Source organism: Homo sapiens, chromosome 9 (assembly GCF_000001405.40).
Source record: "Homo sapiens chromosome 9, GRCh38.p14 Primary Assembly".
Taxonomy (NCBI): Eukaryota; Metazoa; Chordata; class Mammalia; order Primates; family Hominidae; genus Homo; species Homo sapiens.
The window spans coordinates 129925503-129948362 of NC_000009.12; the positions used below are offsets into that span (position 1 = coordinate 129925503).

The following is a 22860-nucleotide window of genomic DNA, read 5'->3' on the forward strand; positions in this document are numbered from 1 at the left end:
CTCAAAAAAACAATGAATTATGATGATCTCATACAGATGATAACTAACGAAATTGTACTGATTGATAATAACTTTTTTCCTAGTAGCTTTTTTTTTTTTTTTTTTTTTTTTGAGACAGTCTCAATCTGTTACCCAGGCTGGAGTGCAGTGGCGTGATCTCAGCTCACCGCAACCTCCGCCTCCCAGGTTTAAGCGATTCTCCTGCCTCAGCCTCCCGAGTAGCTGGGATTACAGGCATGTGCCATCATGCCTAGCTAATTTTTGTATTTTTAGTAGAGATGGGGTTTCGCCATGTTGGCCAGGCTGGTCTCAAATTCTTGACCTCAGGTGATCCGCCTGCCTCGGCTTCCCAAAGTGCTGGCATTACAGGCTTGAGTCACCACAGCTGGCCAGCTTTTTTCATTCTTCTCAAAAGCCATCATTTGAGCTTTTCATCCGAGCTTTTAGAATTTAGAACTATTGTTTTCTGATTTTTTTGTTTGTTTTTGAGACAGAGTCTCGCTCTGTCACTCAGACTGGAGTGCAGTGGCGTGATCTTGGCTCACTGCAATCCCTGCCTCCTGAGTTCCAGCAATTCTCGTGCCTCAGCCTCCCGAGTAGCTGGGACTACAGGGGCATACCACCACACCCAGCTAATTTTTGTATTTTTAGTAGAGATGTGGTTTCACCATGTTGGCCAGGCTGGTCTTGAACTCCTGGCATCAAGTGATCCACCCGCTCCGGCCTCCCAAAGTGCTGGGATTACAAATGTGAGCCACTGTGCCCAGCCAGCAGCATAACTTTTATGTTGAATATTTGTGTCTTCAAATTAACAGTAAAAGCCTATGCTGGTGTTCTAGTTTATATTTTTTTGAGAAATAGGTCTCTAGGAATTCAAATGGAGAACACTGCCCTAAAGCAGTATTCTCAACCAGAGAAGCTTTTGCCCTCCCAGAGGACATGTGACAATGTGTGGAGACATTTTTGATTGTCACAACTCGGGGAGTGCTACTGGCCTCTGCTGGGTAGAGGCCAGGATGCTGCTAAACATTCTGAAATGCCCCCAACAAGAAAAATGATCTGGCCTGAGATAATGTCAAAAGTGCTGAAGGAACCCTGTTTTGGCCGGGTGCAGTGGTTCACACCTGTAATCCTAACACTTTGGGAGGCTGAGGCGGGCGGATTACCTGAGGTCAGGAGTTCGAGACCAGCCTGGCCAATATGGTGAAACCCCGTCTCTGCTAAAAATACAGAAATTAGCTGGGCGTGGTGCGGGCGCCTGTAGTCCCAGCTACTCAGGAGGCTGAGGCAGGAGAATCGCTTGAACCCGGGAGGTGGAGGTTGCAGTGACCCAAGATCACGCCACTGCACTGCAGCCTGGGCAACAGAGCGAGATTCCATCTCAAAAAGAAAAAAAAAAAAAGAAAAAGAAAAAGAAAAAGAGAAAGAAACCCTGCCTTAGAGGAAACAAAGCCTTTACCTTTTTTCCAGGAAATACTTCAATTCAATTCTGTCATGTCTCGGACAATTTACCACTTAAATGTGTTTACCAAAAAAGGAATTATACAGCTAAATCCAAGACACAGAGCATGTGTGACCACCAAAAGCAACCATCCACCATGAGATGATGACATGAGGTCAAATGGAAAGGGGATGGGGAGAAATAATGGATCTGCAAATAGTTATCAATGAAGTCCAAATGGCAATACTTACATTTTTCTGATCAATTGATTCGGCTGCTTTTACTATTCCATCCAGGCACTTCCCAATGATTGGGATCACCTGCCGATCAACCTCTGCATATGTCTTCATGGACTCTCCCATTCTCACAATCCTCCTTTCCTCCATCTCTTGTATTTTCTGCAACATTAGATTTTGTATAAAGTAAGTTTGGTCCATTATTATTAAACAAAGTTGTTTTTCGGCAGCATTGTTACCTCTAACAAGTTCTCTTTGAGGAAAAAATGGGTTAGAGTTAGAGCGGCTCTAAGTACACGGAGCCTCCATATTACCCAGCTGTACATTTATTTTATAAATTGCTAGACATGTTAGGCTGCCCAAATATATGCTTTGCACAATTCCATTCTAATTTTAGTAAGAATGCCAAACTCAATAGTTCTTTTTTGTTTTTCTTTTTGTTTTTTTGAGACGGAGTTTTGCTCTTGTCACCCAGGCTGGAGTGCAGTGGTGTGATCTCAGCTCACTGCAACCTCTGCCTCCAGGTTCAAGTGATTCTCCTGCGTCAGCCTCCCAAGTAGCTGGGATTACAGGCCCCACCCCCCCTCCCCCCGCCACCACACTTGGCTAATTTTTTGTATTTTTAGTACAGATGGGGTTTCGCCATGTTGGCCAGGCTGGTCTCCAACTCCTTACCTCAGGTGATCCACCTGCCTAGGCCTCCAAAGTGCTGGGATTACAGGCTTGAGCCACCACACCTGGCCAATAGTTTTATTACTAACACTATTTGTAATCTACCTCAAACGTTTTCTCCATCTTTAATCTACTACTTTACCTTTTACCAAAAGCACAGTATTTAATTAACTGCCTCAGCCCAATACATGCTAGTGTATCTTCCAACTATAATTTACAAGGACTTGTTTGCTGTGTGTGTAGACACCAAGAAGCAAATATATTATTTATTTTTTCTACAATTGGACTCAAAGTTGCAAAAAATCTGTAAAATGGAAGAACATATGTCTATCTTTTCTCATACCATTTTTGACAACCTAACATGAGCAAAAGAAAACAATCCAAAAGAAAGAACTGTCATTTGTTTAAATCCTATAACTCTATGAATGCTGCTTTGACTTCTATAGTTAAGTTGGCATTTTTATAACCACAATCATCCCTTTAGCAAAGACAGCATTAATCACAGAATCATAGTTTAAGACTGACAAATAGGCGCTGTGGCTCACGCCTGTAATCCCAGCACTTTGGGAGGCCAAGGCGGGCGGATCACCTGAGGTCAGGAGTTCACGACCAGCCTGGCCAACATGGTGAAACCCCGTCTCTACTAAAAATACAAAAAAGGTAGCCAGGTATGGTGGCAGGTGCCTGTAATCCCAGCTACTCAGGAGGCTGAGGCAGGAGATTCGCCGGAACCCAGGAGGTGAAGGTTGCAGTGAGCTGAGATCATGCCACTGCATTCCAGCCTGGGTGACAGAGCAAGACTCCATCTCAAAAAAAAAAAAGAAAAAAAGAAAAAAAGAAAAAAGACTGACAAATAATTGGCTGCAGGTGCAAACTATAGAAATTTGCAAAGTTATTGATTAATCTTGAGATTATTATATTTCATTCATATTGCTAGTCAATGCTTGATCTAGATGCTTTAAAAAATGATTTATCATGCCTATAATCCTAGCACTTTGGGAGGCCAAGGCTGGAGAACTGTTTGAGTCCAGGAATTTGAGACCATCCTGGGCAACACAGCAAGACCCTATCTCTATAAAAAATTTAAAAATTAGCAGGGCATGGTGGTGCATGCCTGTAGTTCCATCTACTTAGGAGGCTGAACTTGGAGGATCCCTTGATCCTTTGAGCCCAGGAGTTCAAAGCTGCAGTGGGTCGTGATTGTGCACTGCACTCCAGCCTGGGCAACAGAGTGAGACTGTCTCAAAAAACAAAAACAAAACAAAACAAAAAAAAGGGCCAGGCATGGTGGCTCAGGCCTGTAATCCCACCACTTTGGGAGGCCGAGGTAGGCAGATCACCTGAGGTCATGACTTTGAGACCAGCCTGGCCAACATGGCAAAACCCCGTCTCTACTAAAAATACAAAAATTAGCCGGGCCCAGTGGTACGTGCCTGTAGTCCCAGCTACTCGGGAGGCTGAGGCAGGAGAGTCACTTGAACCTAGGAGGCAGGGGTTGCAATGAGCCGAGACTGTGCCATTGCACTCCAGCCTGGGTGACAAAGCAAGACTCTGTCTCAAAAAAAAAAAAAAAAAAAAAAAAAATTAGTGGAAATTTGGAATTATATAAAGACTCAGACTCAGAATACAAACCCAGCAATCACGATTCAGAAGTGTCATGTTTCTAAGGAAAGCAAAGCATAAAACATGAAATCTGAGAGATGTTCAGGACTTACCTGGAAGATGTTGGGGATGTGAGTATGGTAATATTCATGCTGCTCATGGTTGAATTTCTGGAGAATGGATGAGTAATCTGCTTTGCTGTCCTCTGCCATTTGGTGACGTATTTGAGCTTGTTGTCGGGCCTTAGGGCAAAAACAAGAATACTCCTACGTTTATACACCATAGATAAAAGCCTGGGTGCAATCAATAAAAGCCTAGAACTGCACACTGGGATGCCTAGGGGCCAGATTTACCTCAAATGTATTCCGCGGGTGCTTTTTAATGTTCTGAATTGAATTGACTTTAGGTAAGCAATGTGCATCCTAGTTTGTATAAACCTCCACCATTCCCTACTGCCTTAACGTGGCGTGTACCTTCTAGTTTGACACACCATTCTATACTGTCTGCACTTGGGCCAATTTACATTATTTGGATGACCCTTGTGGGAACCTCTGCTCATCTCATATACACATTTTTTTTTTTTTGAGGAGGGGATGAGAAATTCATTTTTTTTTTTTCTTTTTTTGAGACCAGGTCTCGCTCTGTCACCCAGGCTGGAGTGCAGTGGCACGATCCTGGCTCACTGCAGCCTCAACCTCCTGGGTTCAAGCAATCCTCTTACCTCAGCCTCTCAAGTAGCTGGGACTACAGGCGTGCACCACCATGCTTGGCTAATTTTTGTATTTTTTTTGTAGATAGGAGGTCTCACCACATTGCCCAGGCTATTCTTGAACTCCTTGACTCAAGCAATCCACCCGCCTCAGCCTCCCAAAGTGCTGGGATTATGGGCATGAACCACGGTGCCTGGCTGGGAAATCCATGAATTTTTAAACCCAGTTCTCAATGGGGTTCATGCACTAAAAAGGCATATGAACCACTGACCTAAGGAGACTTTTCTAAAGCTCTCTAGCATGTTTATATTTAGTATATATGCTAAAGAGGGAATAAGTATGGCAACTTCTTTATGCTTTTTATGTTTTTTGAGGAGTGCTATTTTATGTTTTACTGCATTGCTTTTCTCCTAAAAAATCAATAATTTACACATTTGTTTTTCTCTAATTCATATTCTGATTGATCACATACCTAAAAAAGGGGCAACAATTGTTGACTAGTTGCAGAATGGATTTTAAAGTTCAAACAGGAATGTCTATAAATTCTAAAGTCATCCAGAAGTACAAGAGGTTGTGCCGTTAATACCACCTTAGATTCACATAGCATTGTGGTGTTATTTTGATAAATATAATCTTGTGAATCTCTAACACAATTTGAGGTCCACACAAGGCAAAAAACTACCTCCTGCCAGATGAAGATAGGGTTTTTGGTCTTTAAGTGACCTGGCAAATTCACTGCAGTAAGCCAGAAACACAACAGGAAATAGGCTGTCTTCCAACATAACCAGGGCAACTATTTGTTTGTTTGCTTGTTTTTGTTTTGTTTTACTGAACCAATGTTTCAGAAAACTAAGACCTGGCTGGGTGTGGTAGATCACGCCTGCAATCCCAGCTCTATGGAAGGCTCGGGTGGGCAGATTGCTTGAGCCCAGGAAACTGAGACCAGCCTGGGCAACATGGTGAGACCCCTCTCTCTACAAAAATTAGCTGGGCATGGTGGTATGTGCCTATAGTTCCAGTTACTCAGGAGGCTGAGGCAGGAGGATTGCTTGAGCCTGGGAGGCTGAGGCTGCAGTGAGCTGTGATCACTACCACTGCATTCCAGCCTGCGCAACAGAACGAGACCCTGTGTCAAAAAATAATAATAACAAATAAATTGGCTGGGCGCGGTGGCTCACGCCTGTAATCCTAACACTTTGGGAGGCTGAGGTGGGCAGATCACAAGATCAGGAGATCAAGACCATCCTGGCTAACATGGTGAAACCCCGTCTCTACTAAAAAAAATACAAAAAATTAGCCGGGTGTGGTGGTGGGTGCCTGTAGTCCCAGCTACTCGGGAGGCTGAGGCACGAGAATGGCGTGAACCCGGGAGGCGGAGCTTGCAATGAGCCGAGATCGCGCCACTATACTCCAGCCTGGGCGACAGAGCAAGACTCCGTCTCAAAAAATAATAATAATAAAATAATAAATAAATAAATAAATAAATTAGTTGGGTGTGGTGATGTGTGCCTGTGGTCCCAGCTACTTGGGAGACTGAGGTGGGAGGATTGCTTGAGCTCAGGAGGTCAAGTATACAGTAAGCTGTGACTGCGCCACTGCACTCCAGCCTGGGTAACAGAGCAAGACTGTTTCAAAAAACAAAACAAAACACCAAACAAACAAAAACAAGAAAATTAAGACCTAATCATGAAAGAAAGAAAATCAGAAACACAAGAAAAAGACAGAAAAGAAGAAAAGAGAGAAAGAAAGGGAAGAAAGAACGAAAGAGGCCAGGTGCGGTGCCTCACGCCTGTAATCCCAGCACTTTGGGAGGCTGAGGCGGGTGGATGACGAGGTCAAGAGATTGAGACCATCCTGGCCAACATGGTGAAACCCCGTCTCTACTAAAAATACAAAAATTAGATGGGCGTGGTGGTGGGCGCCTTTAGTCCCAGCTACTTGGGAGGCCGAGACAGGAGAATCGCTTGAACCCAGGAGCCGGAGGTTGCAGCGAGCCGAGATCGCACCACTGCACTCCAGCCTGGGCGACTGAGCCAGACTATCTCTCTCAAAAAAAAGAAAAGAAAAAAAAAGAACAAACGAATGAAAGAGAAAGAAAGAGAAAGTGAAAGAGAGAAAGAAAAAGGAAGGAAGAAAGAAAAGAAAAGAAACACATGAGAGGAAAGCTGAAGTATTTGTTCCACTTTCTTCTTGATGGGAACATTTAGTATTGGCTTTTTTTTTCATGTCAATCTTCTTTATTGGTTTCCTGCCTATGTGACTTGAAGGGTTAACCTGAATTTCACTTCACACATTTTACTCATACTCATCTGGTGAAAGCCTAAGGTAATTCACAGTTGCTTCCCTTATTTTCTTCCCTATTCACACGTGAACACTTCCCAAATGAAGGTAACAATATCAGTATTTCCAAACACATTTCCTTATTACTGAGGTTTTTTGAGTTTCTTAAGGCCTTTGGATCTGTCGGTGCCATTTTATCCTCTTTTCATCTACCCTCAGTTGATTTCAGCTGCCGCATTCTTCCTCTTTGTTGGTGGCCTGTTAACTCCCTTCCTGACCATATGCCTTGGCGTCTGCTTCTTCCTGTGTCCACTAGTAAATATATTAGTCTAGCCCCAAAATGTTAAGTACCCAGCTACCCTCAAAAATCCACCCCCTTCCAACACACAGTAGCCCTCCTCTGTTTAAATAATAGCTTTCCCACCTACATGCATTCCATCTGTTCCCCGAGCCCGTCCAGCACAAATGCCCTATTAACTCTTCAGCTGCTGAGTTTCATCATGTATCATTTCGCTATGAATGTTTAAAAAAAAATTCCCATTAGACCTCAAATTTCTAAAACAGTCTCTATTTTATTCACAAGGCTTCCTCAGAAAGTCTCACAAAAATCCAGTGGGGGATTTCTTCATCTCTTCTGTAAAGAACAGCAAGAGCTCAGGAGGTAGTTTCCCCGTTTATTTTGAAGATTCTATCTAAGTGAGTTTTTAAAATAACTTAAGATCTCAAACAGGCATCACATCAGAATGCCATCATTATATATAATATGTATGCATGTACTTACACGCACACACATACACACACACACAACCCATGAGAGCAGATAAAAGCTTTCTGACAATAAATCCACTCACGCCAATATTTTAGAATATTTTACCCAAGTAGAATATTTTACCCATGAAAGCTGGTGCCAGAGGTACCCCACCCAGCACCATTTGGTTGGAAGTGGCTGTGATCCTCTTCCTGTAGCTCCACAGAATCCCTAATCATGTTTTAGCTTTAGCTGCATAATTCCTTCTGTAAGCATATTACCTCCTAATAGATTCATAATGCCCTTTGCCCTGTTTCTATGCAGTAATCCTGAAAACATAACAAGGGCCCTAGACGTGAACTGTGGAAGACGCTGAATAAGGACCAACATGTCTACAGTCCAGCCTAGAAAGTAAGCTGTGTAGAAGATAATAAATCAAAGTATATTTTAGACGGTCTGCCTTTTATGTTAAAGGAACACTGTCTCTCCAGGAGTTTTTCTTCCATGCTTGGACATACAATTGCAAAGGACGATCTATTTCTACAGTCTCACTCACTCTCACTGACTACAAGGATAGGGAAACCTTCAAAAACAGCAAAATACTGTGATACATCAGATTCTCCAAAGCCGCAGCAAAAAGACAGGACTGTCTTTTTCTCAGTCCCTGCATCCAGCTGCTTTGAATTAATATCCACTTCTGAAACTCTGGCCTAGGAATGCACCATTGTTCTAACCAAATTTCACTATGGAAAATCTATTTCTGTTTAGCAAATTGTTTATTTGACAATGGAATTTAAGAGTCGCTAAAACTAGTGTTGAATCAATTACTCATTATGACAAAAATACCTTTAAAATATCTTGTATTTTGGAGAACTTATTTGGGATAACAGTTAATGGTATTTTGGAGACTATCTCCTAATGTCTAAGACTAAGTGGAGCTAATAAGCATCATGACTTCTCATCTCTTTTTAAAAGTCAGTCTAAAAATAGCAACTATTACCTCAAAGAGATAGTGTTTCCATTCTAAACCAGACCATAAGCTATTCTTTCAATTAAATTAAATTTCCCATTCTGAGAATAAAGACACTGCATCTTACAGCAATATTACTACAGGGCAGAAAGATGTACAGAGAGTTGGCTTGTTTTACTTGCAACGAGTCAGTGTCACAGAATTTCAAGATAATGTTCTAAAAAGTCCAGAATAACCCCCGCTGCCTAGGCTGGGTCACAGACGTCTTAGAATCAGATCTACGCTGCTTTTGTTGTCCAACAGGAAGACAGAATTTAAACTTGAGAATTTTTTGACAAACCCTTGGGAATCTCCCTCAAATAAATCCAAACAGACCTAAGGATGTATGGCTTATACATGATTTCACTTCTTGGTAATTTTTTTTTTTTGAGACAGAGTCTCACTCTGTCGCCCAGGCTGGAGTGCAGTGGCACAATCTTGGCTCACTGCAACCTCTGCCTCCCAGATTCAAGCAATTTTCCTGCCTCAGCCTCCTGAGTATATGGGATTACAGGCACCCGCCACCACGCCCGGCTAATTTTTGTATTTTTAGTAGAGACAGCGTTTCACCATGTTGGCCAGGCTGGTCTCGAACTCCTGACCTCAAGTGATCTGCCTGCCTCGGCCTGCGTTAGCCTCCCAAAGTGTTGGGATTACAGATGTGAGCCACCACGCCCAGCCCACTTCTTGGTAATTCTTAACATAGTCCATTCTCAATATCATTATGGAACTAAGCCATACTGCCTAAAAGGTCAGAGTTGCAGTTTCTAAATAAAGAAAACAATATTTTAGAAACTGAACTGTAGCCCAATATTTTGAAATCCTAATGGGTTTAAAGACAAAAATACCGTCATCCATTCAGTTAGCTAAATTTAGATTATTAGCATGGCCTAAATGTGTGGCTATTTCCTGTTTAGCTCATTTTTTTTTTTTTTTTTTTTAAGACAGGGTCTCCCTCTGTTACCCAGACTGGAGTGCAGTGGCACCATCATAGCTCACTGCAGCCTCAAACTCCTGGGCTCAGGCGACCCTGCCACCTGAGCCTCCCCAAATGCTGGGATTACAGGCATGATGAGGCACCATATGCCAGGCCTGTTTAATTCAATATTACTTTTTCCTTAATATTTCAAAATATTAAGGAGAATAACACTCTTGGCAGTGTCTCAATTGTCATAAGCAGAGAATACAAGTGTACTAAGAAACTTGCTCATTTCACATGAGGCATGTGGTATAACCGAGTTATAACCTTGCATCTTACCACTCTTGCATCATCATTTTTCTTTTCTTTTCTTTTCTTTTTCTATTGAGATGGAGTCTCACTCTGTTGCCCAGGCTGGAGTGCAGTGGTGCAATCTCGGTTCACTGCAACCTCCGCCTCCCAGGTTCAAGTGATTCTCCTGCCTCAACCTCCTGAGTAGCTGGGACTACAGGTGCCTACCACCATGCCCAGCTAATTTTTTGTATTTTTAGTAGAGATGGGGTTTCACCTTGTTAGCCAGGATGGTCTCGATCTCCTGACCTCGTGATCCGCCTGTCTCGGTCTCCCAAAGTGCTGGGATTATAGGCATGAGCCACCGCGCCCAGCCCTCTTGCATCATTTTTCAAGGCTGCCTATGGCTTTTGACCTTTTAACTAGATGAGCAAATATAGACTGGTTCTATTTATACATTGATCGAATGAATAAATAAAGAGACTTACTAAGTTTTTAACATGGCCCCAGATCTCTCAGTTTTATACATTGCTGTTCCTTAAATGATAAACTATATAGGTTGGTGCAAAAGTAATCGCAGTTTTTGTCATTTGAATGGAAGGGCAAAAACCACAATTACTTTTGCAGCAACCTGATACTTAAAGCAGCAGTGTCCAGAGCTTTTGGAAAGCTGCTTTTCCTTTGTTGAAAGGATATAACAAATTATAAATGCCCACCTTTTGTCACCAAAAGTTTGGGGAAAGCCATGTGGAATATTTTACAGTATCGCTGGTAGCCCAAACAACAGTCAATGTTTTTTGGAACAGCTGCATCTTTAGTATTTAACGTCGTTATCACAAGAAGAGACCAATTATATGTTAGGATGGATGGAAATGGGGGCTCAATCTAGATTTTATTCCCTTTCCTCTAAGAATGCACTCTTTTGCCCACAGACAGGATGCCTGTAATCATTATTCAGTGAGCAGCAACCTGCAGCAGCTCCTCCTGACTGGCAGATGGGCCTGGCGGCCACCCAGAGGCTGGGGACACAGCAAGAATCCAGCACAGCACCGATCCCGATTCCCTCCTCCCCAAACTACCTGAGCCATGGACCTCATTTTGTGGACAAAATTAAACTTGCCACTTTCACAACCTGTGTTATCTAGCCACCTTTTGTTCTTTTTTCTCCTGCTTAAAAAAAAAAAAAATTTTGCTGTAGGTAATTCAAACTTACAGAATTGTATGGTTTAAGAAATAAAAGTTTCTGCACATTCCAGCTCCTGATAACCACTAGAGGATCATGACTTTCAGACGTGGCCAGGTAAATGAGAATAAGCACTGGTATTTTTACAGCACACAAATGAGGTAGAGGCCACTGGATATTATTTTCTATTTCTAGGTATTTTTGAGAACAGAAAAAATAGCAACCTGTTGGAAATCCCTGAAAATCCTATTCGTATTTCTCTAGGATTTGTCAATGGTTAGGAATAAAACTAATGGCCAGGTGCGGTGGCTCACGCCTGTAATCTCAACACTTTGGGAGGCTGAGGCAGGTGGATCACCTGAGGTCAAGAGTTCGAGACCAGCCTGGCCAACATGATGAAACCCTGTCTCTAGTAAAAATACAAAAATTAGCTAGGCATGGTGGCACATGCCTGTAGTCCCAGCTGCTTGGGAGGCTGAGGCAGGAGAATTGCTTGAACCCGGGAGACAGAGGCTGCAGTGAGCCAAGGTCACGCCACTGCACTCCAGCCTGGGGGACAGAGTGAGACTCTGTCTCAAGGGGGGGAAAAAAATAAAAGGAATCAAACGAATTTTACTCTAGTCTTTGACCCAAAAATTCTGCTTCTGAAAATTTATCCTAATGATATAATAACAAAAGATATCCAACAGTGCTGTTTATAATAGCCAATAATTTAAAATAATTTGAAACAAACAAATCATTGGTTAAATATTATGTCACACTTTTGATGAGCTATGTATATCCTGTTTTAACAATGTAAAGCCATATTTAATAAGATGAAGTAAATGTATATATAACTTTTAAGAATTTTTAAAGTTGGCCGGGCGCAGTGGTTCACGCCTGTAATTCCAGCACTTTGGGAGGCTGAGGCGGGCGGATCATGAGGCCAGGAGTTCAAGACCAGCCTGGCCAACACAGTGAAACCCCGTCTCTACTAAAAATACAAAAATTAGCTGGGTGTGGTGGCACGTGCCTGTAATCCCAGCTACTCGGGAGGCTGAGGCACGAGAATCGCTTGAACCCAGGAGTTAGAGGTTACAGTGAGCCAAGATATCATGCCACTGCACTTCAGCCTGGTGACAGTGAGACTCCGTCTCAAAAAAAAAAAAGAATTTTTAAAGTTTATCAGAGTTTGCCTTTGACAAATTTATAAGGGCAGCTAAAACACAAAACAGAGAAAAACTTCAAAATAAGTTAACCAAAGAAATATGCTTTATATAACCTAGAAGTGAACCAAATTTTAAAAAAGGCTGGCCGCGGTGGCTCATGCCTGTAATCCCAGCATTTTGTGAGGCTGAGGTGGGCATGTCAGTTGAGGCCAGGAGATTGAGACCAGCCTGGCCAATATGGTGAAACCCCATCTCTACTAAAAAATACAAAAATTAGTCGAGTGTGGTGGTGCGTGCCTGTAGTCCCTGCTCCTAGGAGGCTGAGGCAGGAGAATCACTTGAACCTGGGAGGCAGAGGTTGCACTGAGCCGAGATTGAGCCACTGCACTCCAGCCTGGGCAACAGAGTGAGACTCTGTCTCAAAAAAATAAATAAATTAATTAATTTTTTAAAAAAAGCTCTGAAAAGCTAATGGAGTAGAAGGGACACTAAGGAAGAGATGAAAAAGCTCTTTGTCCAGAGCAAAGTTGTTGGATGATAAACGGCATTGTTTAAATTTCCCAGCAAACTGTTGTATCTAGAATATATTTTCAATTTCAAGACTAAGAATGCATTTAAAAATTCCTTTTCAGATAGAGTGCTGTGAGTTTTTGTTGGAGACTTCCAGGCCAGGAGCTTGCCAAAACAATGAGTCTGTCTTTGATAAATTATAAGGGCAGCTAGAATACAAAACAGAGAAAAACTTCAAAATAAGTTAACCAAAGAAATATGCTTGAACTATTCCAGCAATTTCCTGACTCTTTTTTTTTTTTTTGAAAACAGTCTTACAACTTTCTAGCTCCAGTATTGTAGGTGGAGGGCCACTGAAATAGAAGGAGAGAATGCAGAAAGATAGCCAGTGAGACCAGCATCTCAATCCCACATGGCCCATTCACTTGCTAAACAGTTTTAAGAAAAGGTCTTCTGTTTCCCTATGCTCTGGTTGCCTTATTTGAAATATCTATTTACTCAAGGTGAGTGACAATTTCTGCTAAAAGAGAAGAGGCCAATGCTGATATTTCTCATCATGATGTTGGCAAGCCTCCAAGGGAGGCTGGTAGAAATTCAGCACGAGCTTGGAGATCCTGCTAAGATGTAAATGATGGTTTCCAAGACTTGGCCCCCCTTTCCCCCCTGGTTTCTCACGCATGGTCATTGGCAAGAGACTTGAGTTTTTCATTATGGTAGGTTTGAAATTGATTATTATTACTTTTGAGACAGAGTATCCCTCTTGTCACCCAAGCTGGAGTGCAGTGGCATGATCTCGGCTCACTGCAACCTCTACCTCCCAGATTCAAGCGATTCTCCTGTCTCAGTCTCCCAAGTAGCTGGGGGCAGTGGCTCACGCCTATAATCCCAGCACTTTGGGAGGCTGAGGCGGGTGGATCACCTGAGGTCAGGAGTTCAAGACCAGCCTGACCAATATGATGAAACCCCGTCTCTACTAAAAATACAAAAATCAGCCGGGCATGGTGGCATGTGCCTGTAATCCCAGATACTTGGGAGGCTGAGGCAGGAGAATCGCTTGAACTCACGAGGCAGAGGCTGCAGTGAGCCGAGACTGCACCACTGAACTCCAGCCTGGGCAACAAGAGCAAGCCTCCGTCCCGAAAAATAAAAAAATCTTGCATATGTTATCACATGTTATTCAGTAATATACTGTCAATGAAGTAAATATGTAAGACTATAAGCCCTTCCTGCACTAACCTCAATGTTAGTTTTGTCTTCTTTTAGATGGGAAATAATTAGAGAAACTTCTTGTGACCACAGAAGACCAGGAAGCTTATGTAGGTCTCAAGCTGTGGAGTGGGGGAAGAGTGTCTTCTAAAATACAAAAGCTTCAGCCTGTGCTAGTACAGATGGTGCAAGATTCCCCAAGCCAAGAAATTAACATAAAAATTAGTTCCAGGTTGTCTGGCAGAAACACTATAAAACCTCACTGGGGGGATACTTCTACAATCCTGTTTTTATAAGATTCCCGGAGAAAAAACAATCTCTGTCAAAGTTACGCTCATACAAAAAAGGTAGTAATAATATAAATGCACAAGGAAATAAACCACCATGAGAGCTGATGCGATAGTAAGAAAAATGAGAACCTGAGCTAAAAGAACAATGTGAAAGAAAATATAAGAACAACAGGCCAGGCACAGCGGCTCACACCTGTAATCCCAGCACTAGAGGAGGCTGACGTGGGAGGATCACTTGAGGCCAGGAGTTCGAGACCAGCCTAGGTAACATAGTGAGACTCCATTTCTAAAAAAAAATTAAAAATAAGCAGGGCATGGTGGTGTACAGCTGTAGTCCTAGCTATTCCAGAGGTTGAGGTGGGAGGATCACTTGAGCCCGGGAGTTCGAGGCTATAGTGAGCTATGATTGTCCCACTGTACTTCAGCCTGGGCTTAGGTGACAGAATAAGACCCTCTCTCAAAAACAACAACAAAACAACGACAACAACAATGACAACAAAACAACATTTTGAAGGATTAAGTTAGTAAAAGATGCAAAAGGAATCATAAGAAAATAATAAGATGCTCTAAATATAGATCAGGTATATCTTCAAAAGAATAAAATGGAACTTCTAGAAATAAAAAATACAGTCATTGAAATTTTAAAATTCAATAGATGAGTTAAATAGAATAATTTGAAGAGACTTCATGAAGTAGCTGACAAAGTTACATCATATGTAATATATAGGAAATGAAATCTATGAAAAAGAAGTTATGAGGCGTGGGGAACAGAATGAGAAATTTCACACACATCTAATATGAATCCCAAAACCAACAATATTAATAACAACATAATATAGGAAGAGTTAATGCTGGAGAGTTTTCATATATATATATATACATATATATACATATTTTTAGATGGAGTCTCACTCTGTCACCCAGGCTAGACTGCAGTGGCACAATCTCGGCTCACTGCAACCTCTGCCTCCCGGGTTCAAGCGATTCTCCTGCCTCAGCCTCCTGAGTAGCTGGGACTACAGGCGCACACCACCACACCCAGCTAATTTTTGTATTTTTAGTAGAGACGGGGTTTCACCATGTTGGCCAGGATGGTCTCAATCTCTTGACCTCGTGATCTGCCCACCTCGGCCTCCCAAAGTGCTGAGATTACAGGCGTGAGCCACCACACTGAGTTTTCATATATTTATGAAAGGAACAAATCCTCTAGGAACCCCAAACAGAATAAATTAAAAATAAAAAGTCTGTGCTTTGAAACATCATATTGATGCCATGGATACCAAAGGGAAATACAAGGTCTTCACAACTACAGGAGAAAGCAAAATATCTACAAAGAAATGCTATTAAATAGAACGTCAAGGCCGGGTGTGGTGGCTCACGCCTGTAATCCCCGCACTTTGGGAGGCTGAGGCGGGCAGATCACCTGAGGTCAGGAGTTCAAGACCAGTCTGGCAAACATGGTGAAACCCTGCTTCTACTAAAAATACAAAAATTAGCCGTGCATGGTGGCCCACGCCTGTAATCCAGGCTACTTGGGAGGCTGAGGCAGGAGAATCACTTGAACATGGGAGGTGGAGGCTGCAGTGAGCCAAGACTGCGTCATTGCACTCCAGCCTGGGCAACAGAGCGAGACGCCATCTTAAATAAATAAATAAATAAATGCTATTAAATAGAATGTCAAATTCCCAAGAACAACTGACAATGATAGACAATGAAATTACATTTTGTTTTTAACTGAGACAGAGTCTTGCTCTGTTAACCAGGATGGAGTGCAGTGGTATGATCACAGCCCGCTGCAGCCTCAACTTCCCAGGCTCAAGCAATGATCCTGCCTCAGCCTCCTGAGTAGATGGGACGACAGGCACACACCAGCCTGCCCAGGTGACTTTTCATTTTTTGTAGAGACAAGGTCTTCCTACGTTGCCCAGCCTGGTCTCGAACTCCTGGGCTCAAGTGATCCTTCCACCTTGGCCTCCCAAAGTGTTGGAATTACAGGCATAAGCCACCACACCTGGCCTGAATGATATTTTTTAAAAGTTTAGGCTGGGTGCAGTGGCTCACGCCTGTAATCCCAACACTTTGGGAGGCTGAGGCAGGTGGATCACATGAGGTCAGGAGTTCAAGACCCCCCTGGCTGACATGGCAAAACCCCATCTCTACTAAAAATACAAAAATTAGCCAGGTGTGGTGGCAGGCACCTATAATCCCAGCTACTTGGGAGGCTGAGGCAGGAGAATCGCTTGAACCTGGGAGGCGGAGGTTGTAGTGAGCTAAGATCGCACCACTGCACTCCAGCCTGGGAGACAGTGAGACTCTGTCTCCAAAAAAAAAAAACCAAAACCAAAACAAACAAATGAAATGTTTAGAGAAAACAATTGTCAACCTAGAATTCTATATCTAGCTAAACTATCACATTAGAGGGAGGACAAAAATAAAGACATTTCAAACAAATAAAGAAAATTTACCAGTCACAAACTCTCATGGAAAAAAATTAAAACAACCCATCTTCCAGGAAGAAGGAAATTTAACTCCAAAAGGAGTGACATGGAAGATGTGACAACACTTGGTCTGCATTACCACACAGCTACAGATGTGTAAATGGATGGTGAATAATGGCCGCCCCCTTTACGTCTGACTTGGGCCTCCTAGGCCAGTACAACCCCCACCTCTCTTTATTGGGTCCTGATACTGAGGCCCTGTGCTAATAGCTATTTGTCATCTTACCTCAACCTGCCAGTCTCACATGTCTATTATCTGCCTAGTTCTGTAGGAAAAAGCGGTGGCTAAGAGTAAGGAGCTTATTTAATACAATCCAGTAGTAAAGCTGAATGGTAAACTGGCAAGAACACTGAACTTGAGGCACAGAAACATGCTTCAGTCTTGGCTGTACCTTATCCAGCAGGGCCACTTTAGGCTAATGGTAATTTCACATTTTATAGGTTTACCCTATTTATCTATAAAGGGATAAAGGAAACATGGAGAGGACTAAAAGCCCTTTGGAAAATATAAAACACTTTCCAGTGTAGGTTTTTTGAGGAGTAGGTTCAATAGCATTTTATCGGGGTCACATTCATCCTGCCATTTGGCTTTTTTCTTTCTTTTTTTTTTCTGAGATTGGTTGGGGTGGGGGTGGGGTGGTCTCACTATGTTGCCCAGGCTGGTCTTGAACTCCTGGGCTCAAGCAATCCTCCTGCCTTGGCCTCCCAAAATGCTAGAATTATAGGCATGAGCCACTGCATCCGGCCCATTTGGCTTTAAATATCTTTCACAAACTGTTCTCATCTTACTTCTCCAGCTAGGTCCCACAGAGTCCCCTGTCCTGGCAGGCAGGTCAACGTCGGCAACATGCTCCCTCAGTGCCCTGGATGAAGTTGTCTCTACCTCAGTGGCGCTTTCTCTTTTCTGTTTCTACATATCCTTCAGGTTCAAGTCCTGATTCCGACTTCAGGCCTGTCCCAACAACCTACAGTCTGCACAGACCTTTTTCAGATGCAGAATGCAGGAGCAACTGCTGAGCTCCTAGTGTTTTGCTGATGAAAGGACCAGGTGATTTCATATATGATGGACCTCATTGATCGTTTTTATAATTTTTTTTCCTTTATCTCACTGGCAAGTATGTAGAGCAATCATTAATTGCTTTTTTTTTTTTTTTTTTTGAGATGGACTTTTGCTCTTGTTGCCCAGGCTGGAGTGCAGTGGCGTGATCTTGGCTCACTGCAACCTTTGCCTCCCAGCTTCAAGCGATTCTCCTGCCTCAGCCTCCCAAGTAGCTGAGATTACAGGTGTGCACCACCATGCCCAGCTAATTTTTGTATTTTTAGTAGAGATGCGGTTTCGCCATGTCAGCCAGGCTGGTCTCGAACTCCTGACCTCAAATGATCTGCCCACCTTGGCAGCCTAAAGTGCTGGGATTACAGGCATGAGCCACTGCGCCCGGCCTAATTGCTTTTAAACTGCTATTGTGGTCGGGCACGGTAGCTGACGCCTGTAATCCCAGCACTTTGGGAGGCTGAGGTGGGAGGATCACGAGGTCAGGAGATCGAGAACATCCTGGCTAAGACGGTGAAACCCTGTCTCTACTAAAAATACAAAAAAATTAGCCGGGCGTGGTATCGGGGGCCTGTATCCCCAGCTACTAGGGAGGCTGAGGCAGGAGAGTGGCGTGAACCTGGGAAGCAGAGCTTGCAGTGAGCCAAGACTGCACCACTGCACTCCAGCCTGGGCGACAGAGCGAGACTCCATCTCAAAAAAAAAAAAAAAAACCTGCTATCGTTCTGATGATCTTCACACAAGTTGGCATGCTACATATCATACTCTACCTTATTCCCCAACTGACTCAAGTTTTCCTTCTCTCTCCGTCTCATGCTTCTCTCATCCTTCTCTCTCCAGTCTGCTAACTGGGGACTTCATGAAAGGTATCTATTACAGTCCTACTGGTGTTTCACACTCTTTGTCAAATAAATATTCTTGTTGAATGTCTAGATGCCCAGAATGCCTAGAATGTTAAAAATATGGCCGGGTGCGGTAGCTCATGCCTGTAATCCCAGCACTTTGGGAGGCTGAGGCAGGAGGATCACGAGGTCAAGAGATCGAGACCATCCAGGCCAACCTGGAGAAACCCTGTCTCTACTAAAAATACAAAAATTAGCTGGGCGTCGTGGTGGGCGCCTGTAGTCCCAGCTACTTGGGACGCTGAGGCAGGAGAATTGCTTGAACCCGGGAGGCAGAGGTTGCAGTGAGCCGAGATCATGCCCCCGCACTCCAGCCTGGCAACAGAGCGAGACTGCGTCTCAAAAAAAAAAAAAAAAAGTAGACTAAAGGGTAAGAGATGAGGAGGAAGGAGGCAGAAATAATGCAAGGAGAAGGATACAGGCAAAATACAGATGGCAATAACAGTGTCAGCCAATCAATTGCAGTTCAAAAATAGGCCACTACACATACATCACACCCACTGAAACCTCACACCCAGCCCTTGAGGTGCATATGCATCCTTACTTACAGAACAGGAACCAGAGATGAAGTAAGTTGCCACATGTCATGCCATTTGTAAGCGACAGAAACAAGATTTGAACCCACTTCCACGTAATACAAAGATCAGGAACAAGCTCTTAGCCATGGGCTAGGCCATTTACTATCATTGAAAATTAAAATACCTTATTAAATGACTTACCATACAAAAGCCTTTAGAACAGTTCAGGCCACATACTAAGTGCCAAGTGTTGAAGCTAAACACACACACACACACATAAATAAATACATATATATTCAGGGAATTCATTTCTTCATTTCTATCTTCAGATCTAGGGTATGAGAACGATGCTGCTTGATTGCTATTTTGTACATTAACTTATAGGCTTGTTAATAATTATGCTTTTAGGAGTAAATATAAACTCCACAGACATAAAGAAGAGAATAATAAACGTGTCTTTTCTAGAATCTTTCATTTGAACCTTGATCCACTTATAAAAGAACAGTTATAGCAACAATATCCATTTTTGGTAATACTTATAATAAAATTCTTTATACTTTTCTCTTCTTTGCAATAAAAAGCATTTGAAACTTTTTTAAGCCTAAAAAGATTAAGCTGCAGTTGCAAAATTTATTTCCTGCATTTATACTAACCACTTCCTTTTTAAAAAAAAATGTTCTCTAAATTGTTATAGTGAACAATTCCTTCAGATGACTACAGTCAGACATTTTAGAAGAAACAGAAACGTGGGGAAGGCACTGAAGATATTAACATGTTCCATAAAGATGTCAACCTAGTACTACAGCAATGGTAACCAAAATATTCAATAGTACAATTCCTTATATGTACAATAACTAAAGTGGTCATTGTGCTAGAGACTGTTTCCCCAAATGGTAAAAAAATTTAACACTCTGCTACGCAGCTGGCTTCACTTAGAATAGAGCCAACTCCATCCTGTTGGCTTCACAGAGTTGGCAACACTGATTCCAACCGAAGAAAACCTAAACTACTAAATTTCGTTTGTTTTCTTAAGATAATTATCAAACTGATCATCATTTAAAGTAAACTCCTTCATTCTTGCTTAAAATTGACAGATTCCTATCTATAACTTTCTTTTTCTCTTTAAAATATTCTATTATAGAATATATAACACATTAAAAATTACATGTGGCTGGGCATGGTGGCTCACACCTGTAATCCCAGCACTGTGGGAGGCCAAGGCAGACGGATCACTTGAGCCCAGAAGTTCAAGACCACCATGGGCAATGTGGTGAAAGCCTATCTCTACTAAAAATACAAAAAATTAGCCGGGTGTAGTGGCGTACGCCTGTAGTCCCAGCTACTCAGGAGGCTGAGGCACGAGAATCACTTGAACCCAGGAGGTGGAAGTTGCAGTGAGCTGAGACGGTGCCACTGCACTCCATCCTGAGCGACAGACCAATACTCTGTTTCAAAAAAAAACAAAAAACCAGAAATGAAATTTTATTTTTTATAATTTACATCACAGAATTCTACTTTAATTCATAAATAACTCAGGATTTCCTATTCTGCTTCACAACAGGGACATCTATATGTAGAATTAAAAAGTTAATCATATTCAAAGCCAAATACTTCGAGAAGTCTGTATACAAAAAATGGAAGGCAAACTCCCAAAGAAACTGATACACTGTTCAGTGCTCATGGTCAGATTTTAACTTAAGTTTTAAAGCATTTCCTCAAATCGGGTTATATAATAAAAACTCCTAATTAGTCAGAAATAAGGAAACCTCTCGCACTGTATAGAGAGCTCTTCTGGCCATCCAGTACTCAGAATTAATTGCAATGAATTAGAATGAAGAGGCACCATTAACTTTTGGTGGAAAACATCGGCTCATAAATTGAGACTCTAGCAGAAAAAGAACCATACAAGTTAAATGAAACTAGACCGATAAGAAAAGGAAGAAATTGTTACTGGCGTTTAAAAAACATAACTTGAACTTAACTAACAATTTCTGCAGCTGTTTGTAACCACTAACTGCAGATTCTGTTAGACAATATCCTATTTTGCATTTAGAAATTATGTAAGAGCCAACAGTCATAAGGCAAGGGAGAATTAGAAAAAGGGAATTATTCATTGCCTGACATGGATGAACTCAGTTTAATGCATGCATTTAGAAAACACTGTTCTCTCTGTTCAGAAATATTAGTTCACATTCCACTCATTTTGATAACCTTTTCCTTTCTCATCCCAATACCACACTAAACCCATTGCTACACTATCAGAACACAAAGATTAGGTGTAGCCTCTCATCCAAGTTTGTATAGCATGGTGTTATTTCAAAGCAGAGTGACAGACAAACTGTGATTTTAAAGTCTTTGTCACCAGAATGCCATTCAAGAGTTGTTTGGGTGGGCAAGTGGGAAAATTCACAATACAGTAAACCAAACATTAGAAAGAAAACAGGCTGGGCACGGTGGCTCACGCCTGTAATCCCAGCACTTTGGGAGGCCAAGGTGGGTGGATCACCTGAGGTCAGGAGATCGAGACCAGTCTGACCAACATGGTGAAATCCCGTCTCTACTAAAATACAAAAATTAGCCGGGTGTGGTGGCAGGCGCCTGTAATCTTAGCTATTTGGGAGGCTGAGAAAGGAGAATTGCTTGAACCCAGGAGGCAGAGGTTGCAGTGAGCAGAGATCGCGCCATTGCACTCCAGCCTGGGCAACAAGAGTAAAACTCCGTCTCAAAAAAAAAAAAGAAAAGAAAAAAAGAAAAAACAAAAGGCAAGTTCCTCAGAGTCAAGGATCGTGTGATTATGTGCTGGCATCTATACCCGCATACCTTGCCAGTAGATAGTCAGTGAACAACGGGCAAGGGAATGAATGGATACATGTGAATACTTCACGACTTAGGAATCCCACCAGTGAGTTACTTTTTTTTTTTTGAGGTGGAGTTTTGCTCTTGCTGCCCAGGCTGGAGTAAAATGGCGTGATCTCGGCTCACTGCAACCTCTGCCTCCCGGGTTCAAGCGATTCTCCTGCCTCAGTCTCCCGAGTAGCTGACATTACAGGCATGCGCCACCACACCTGGCTAATTTTGTATTTTTAGTAGAGACAGGGTTTCTCCATGTTGGTCAGGCTGGTCTCGAACTCCCAACCTCAGGTAATCTGCGTGCCTCAGCCTCCCAAAGTGCTGGGATTTCAGGAGGGAGCCACTGCACTTGGCTGAGTTGCATTTTTTAAAAGATAAGTCCATGAAGTCATAATTCTACTAGAATTCCCTTAAATTTAAAAAAAAAAAAAAAAGGAGGGGGGCAGGTGTGGTGGCTCACACCTATAATCTCAGCACTTTGTGAAGCTGAGGCAGGAGGATCACTTGAGGCTAGGAGTTCAAGACCAGCCTGGGAACACATAGGGAGACCCCGTCTCTACGCTGTGCATGGTGGCATGCCCCTGTGGTCTCAGCTACTTGGGAGGCTGAGGCAGGAGGATCACTTGAATCCACGAGGTTGAGGCTGCAATAAGTTTTGATCACACTACTGCACTCCAGCCTGAGCAACAAAGGGAGAGACCCTGTCTCAACAAACAAACAAACAAAATACCTATTTAATTTAATTTATTTGTCTGTGCTATTGCTCATACAAAACACCTATTTTGGTGTCTTTTTT

At 42.5% G+C, this 22860-nt stretch overlaps 1 protein-coding gene across 39 annotated transcripts in view, besides 5 other annotated features; it reads right to left on the minus strand.

Annotated features, from left to right (window-relative positions):
- FNBP1 (formin binding protein 1) overlaps window positions 1-22860 on the minus strand; it is a 166693-nt gene that overhangs the window by 38316 nt on the left and 105517 nt on the right. For all 39 annotated transcript variants that reach the window (NM_001439055.1, NM_001439054.1, NM_001439053.1 and 36 more), the window contains 2 exons: window positions 4065-4193; window positions 1693-1839 (listed from right to left, as the gene is read on the minus strand). In NM_001439055.1, coding sequence (NP_001425984.1) covers window positions 1693-1839; window positions 4065-4193 — 276 coding nt within the window. The remainder of the gene's footprint in view (window positions 1-1692; window positions 1840-4064; window positions 4194-22860) is intronic.
- Window positions 7126-7195: an enhancer, noted in NCBI's record as "active region_29129". NCBI's record gives its function as "activates an Ori minimal core promoter by ATAC-STARR-seq in GM12878 lymphoblastoid cells {active_cell/tissue: GM12878}" and the evidence as "EXISTENCE:reporter gene assay evidence [ECO:0000049][PMID:35858748]".
- Window positions 7336-7435: an enhancer, noted in NCBI's record as "active region_29130". NCBI's record gives its function as "activates an Ori minimal core promoter by ATAC-STARR-seq in GM12878 lymphoblastoid cells {active_cell/tissue: GM12878}" and the evidence as "EXISTENCE:reporter gene assay evidence [ECO:0000049][PMID:35858748]".
- Window positions 7456-7515: an enhancer, noted in NCBI's record as "active region_29131". NCBI's record gives its function as "activates an Ori minimal core promoter by ATAC-STARR-seq in GM12878 lymphoblastoid cells {active_cell/tissue: GM12878}" and the evidence as "EXISTENCE:reporter gene assay evidence [ECO:0000049][PMID:35858748]".
- Window positions 7536-7685: an enhancer, noted in NCBI's record as "active region_29132". NCBI's record gives its function as "activates an Ori minimal core promoter by ATAC-STARR-seq in GM12878 lymphoblastoid cells {active_cell/tissue: GM12878}" and the evidence as "EXISTENCE:reporter gene assay evidence [ECO:0000049][PMID:35858748]".
- Window positions 19163-19242: a silencer, noted in NCBI's record as "silent region_20394". NCBI's record gives its function as "represses an Ori minimal core promoter by ATAC-STARR-seq in GM12878 lymphoblastoid cells {active_cell/tissue: GM12878}" and the evidence as "EXISTENCE:reporter gene assay evidence [ECO:0000049][PMID:35858748]".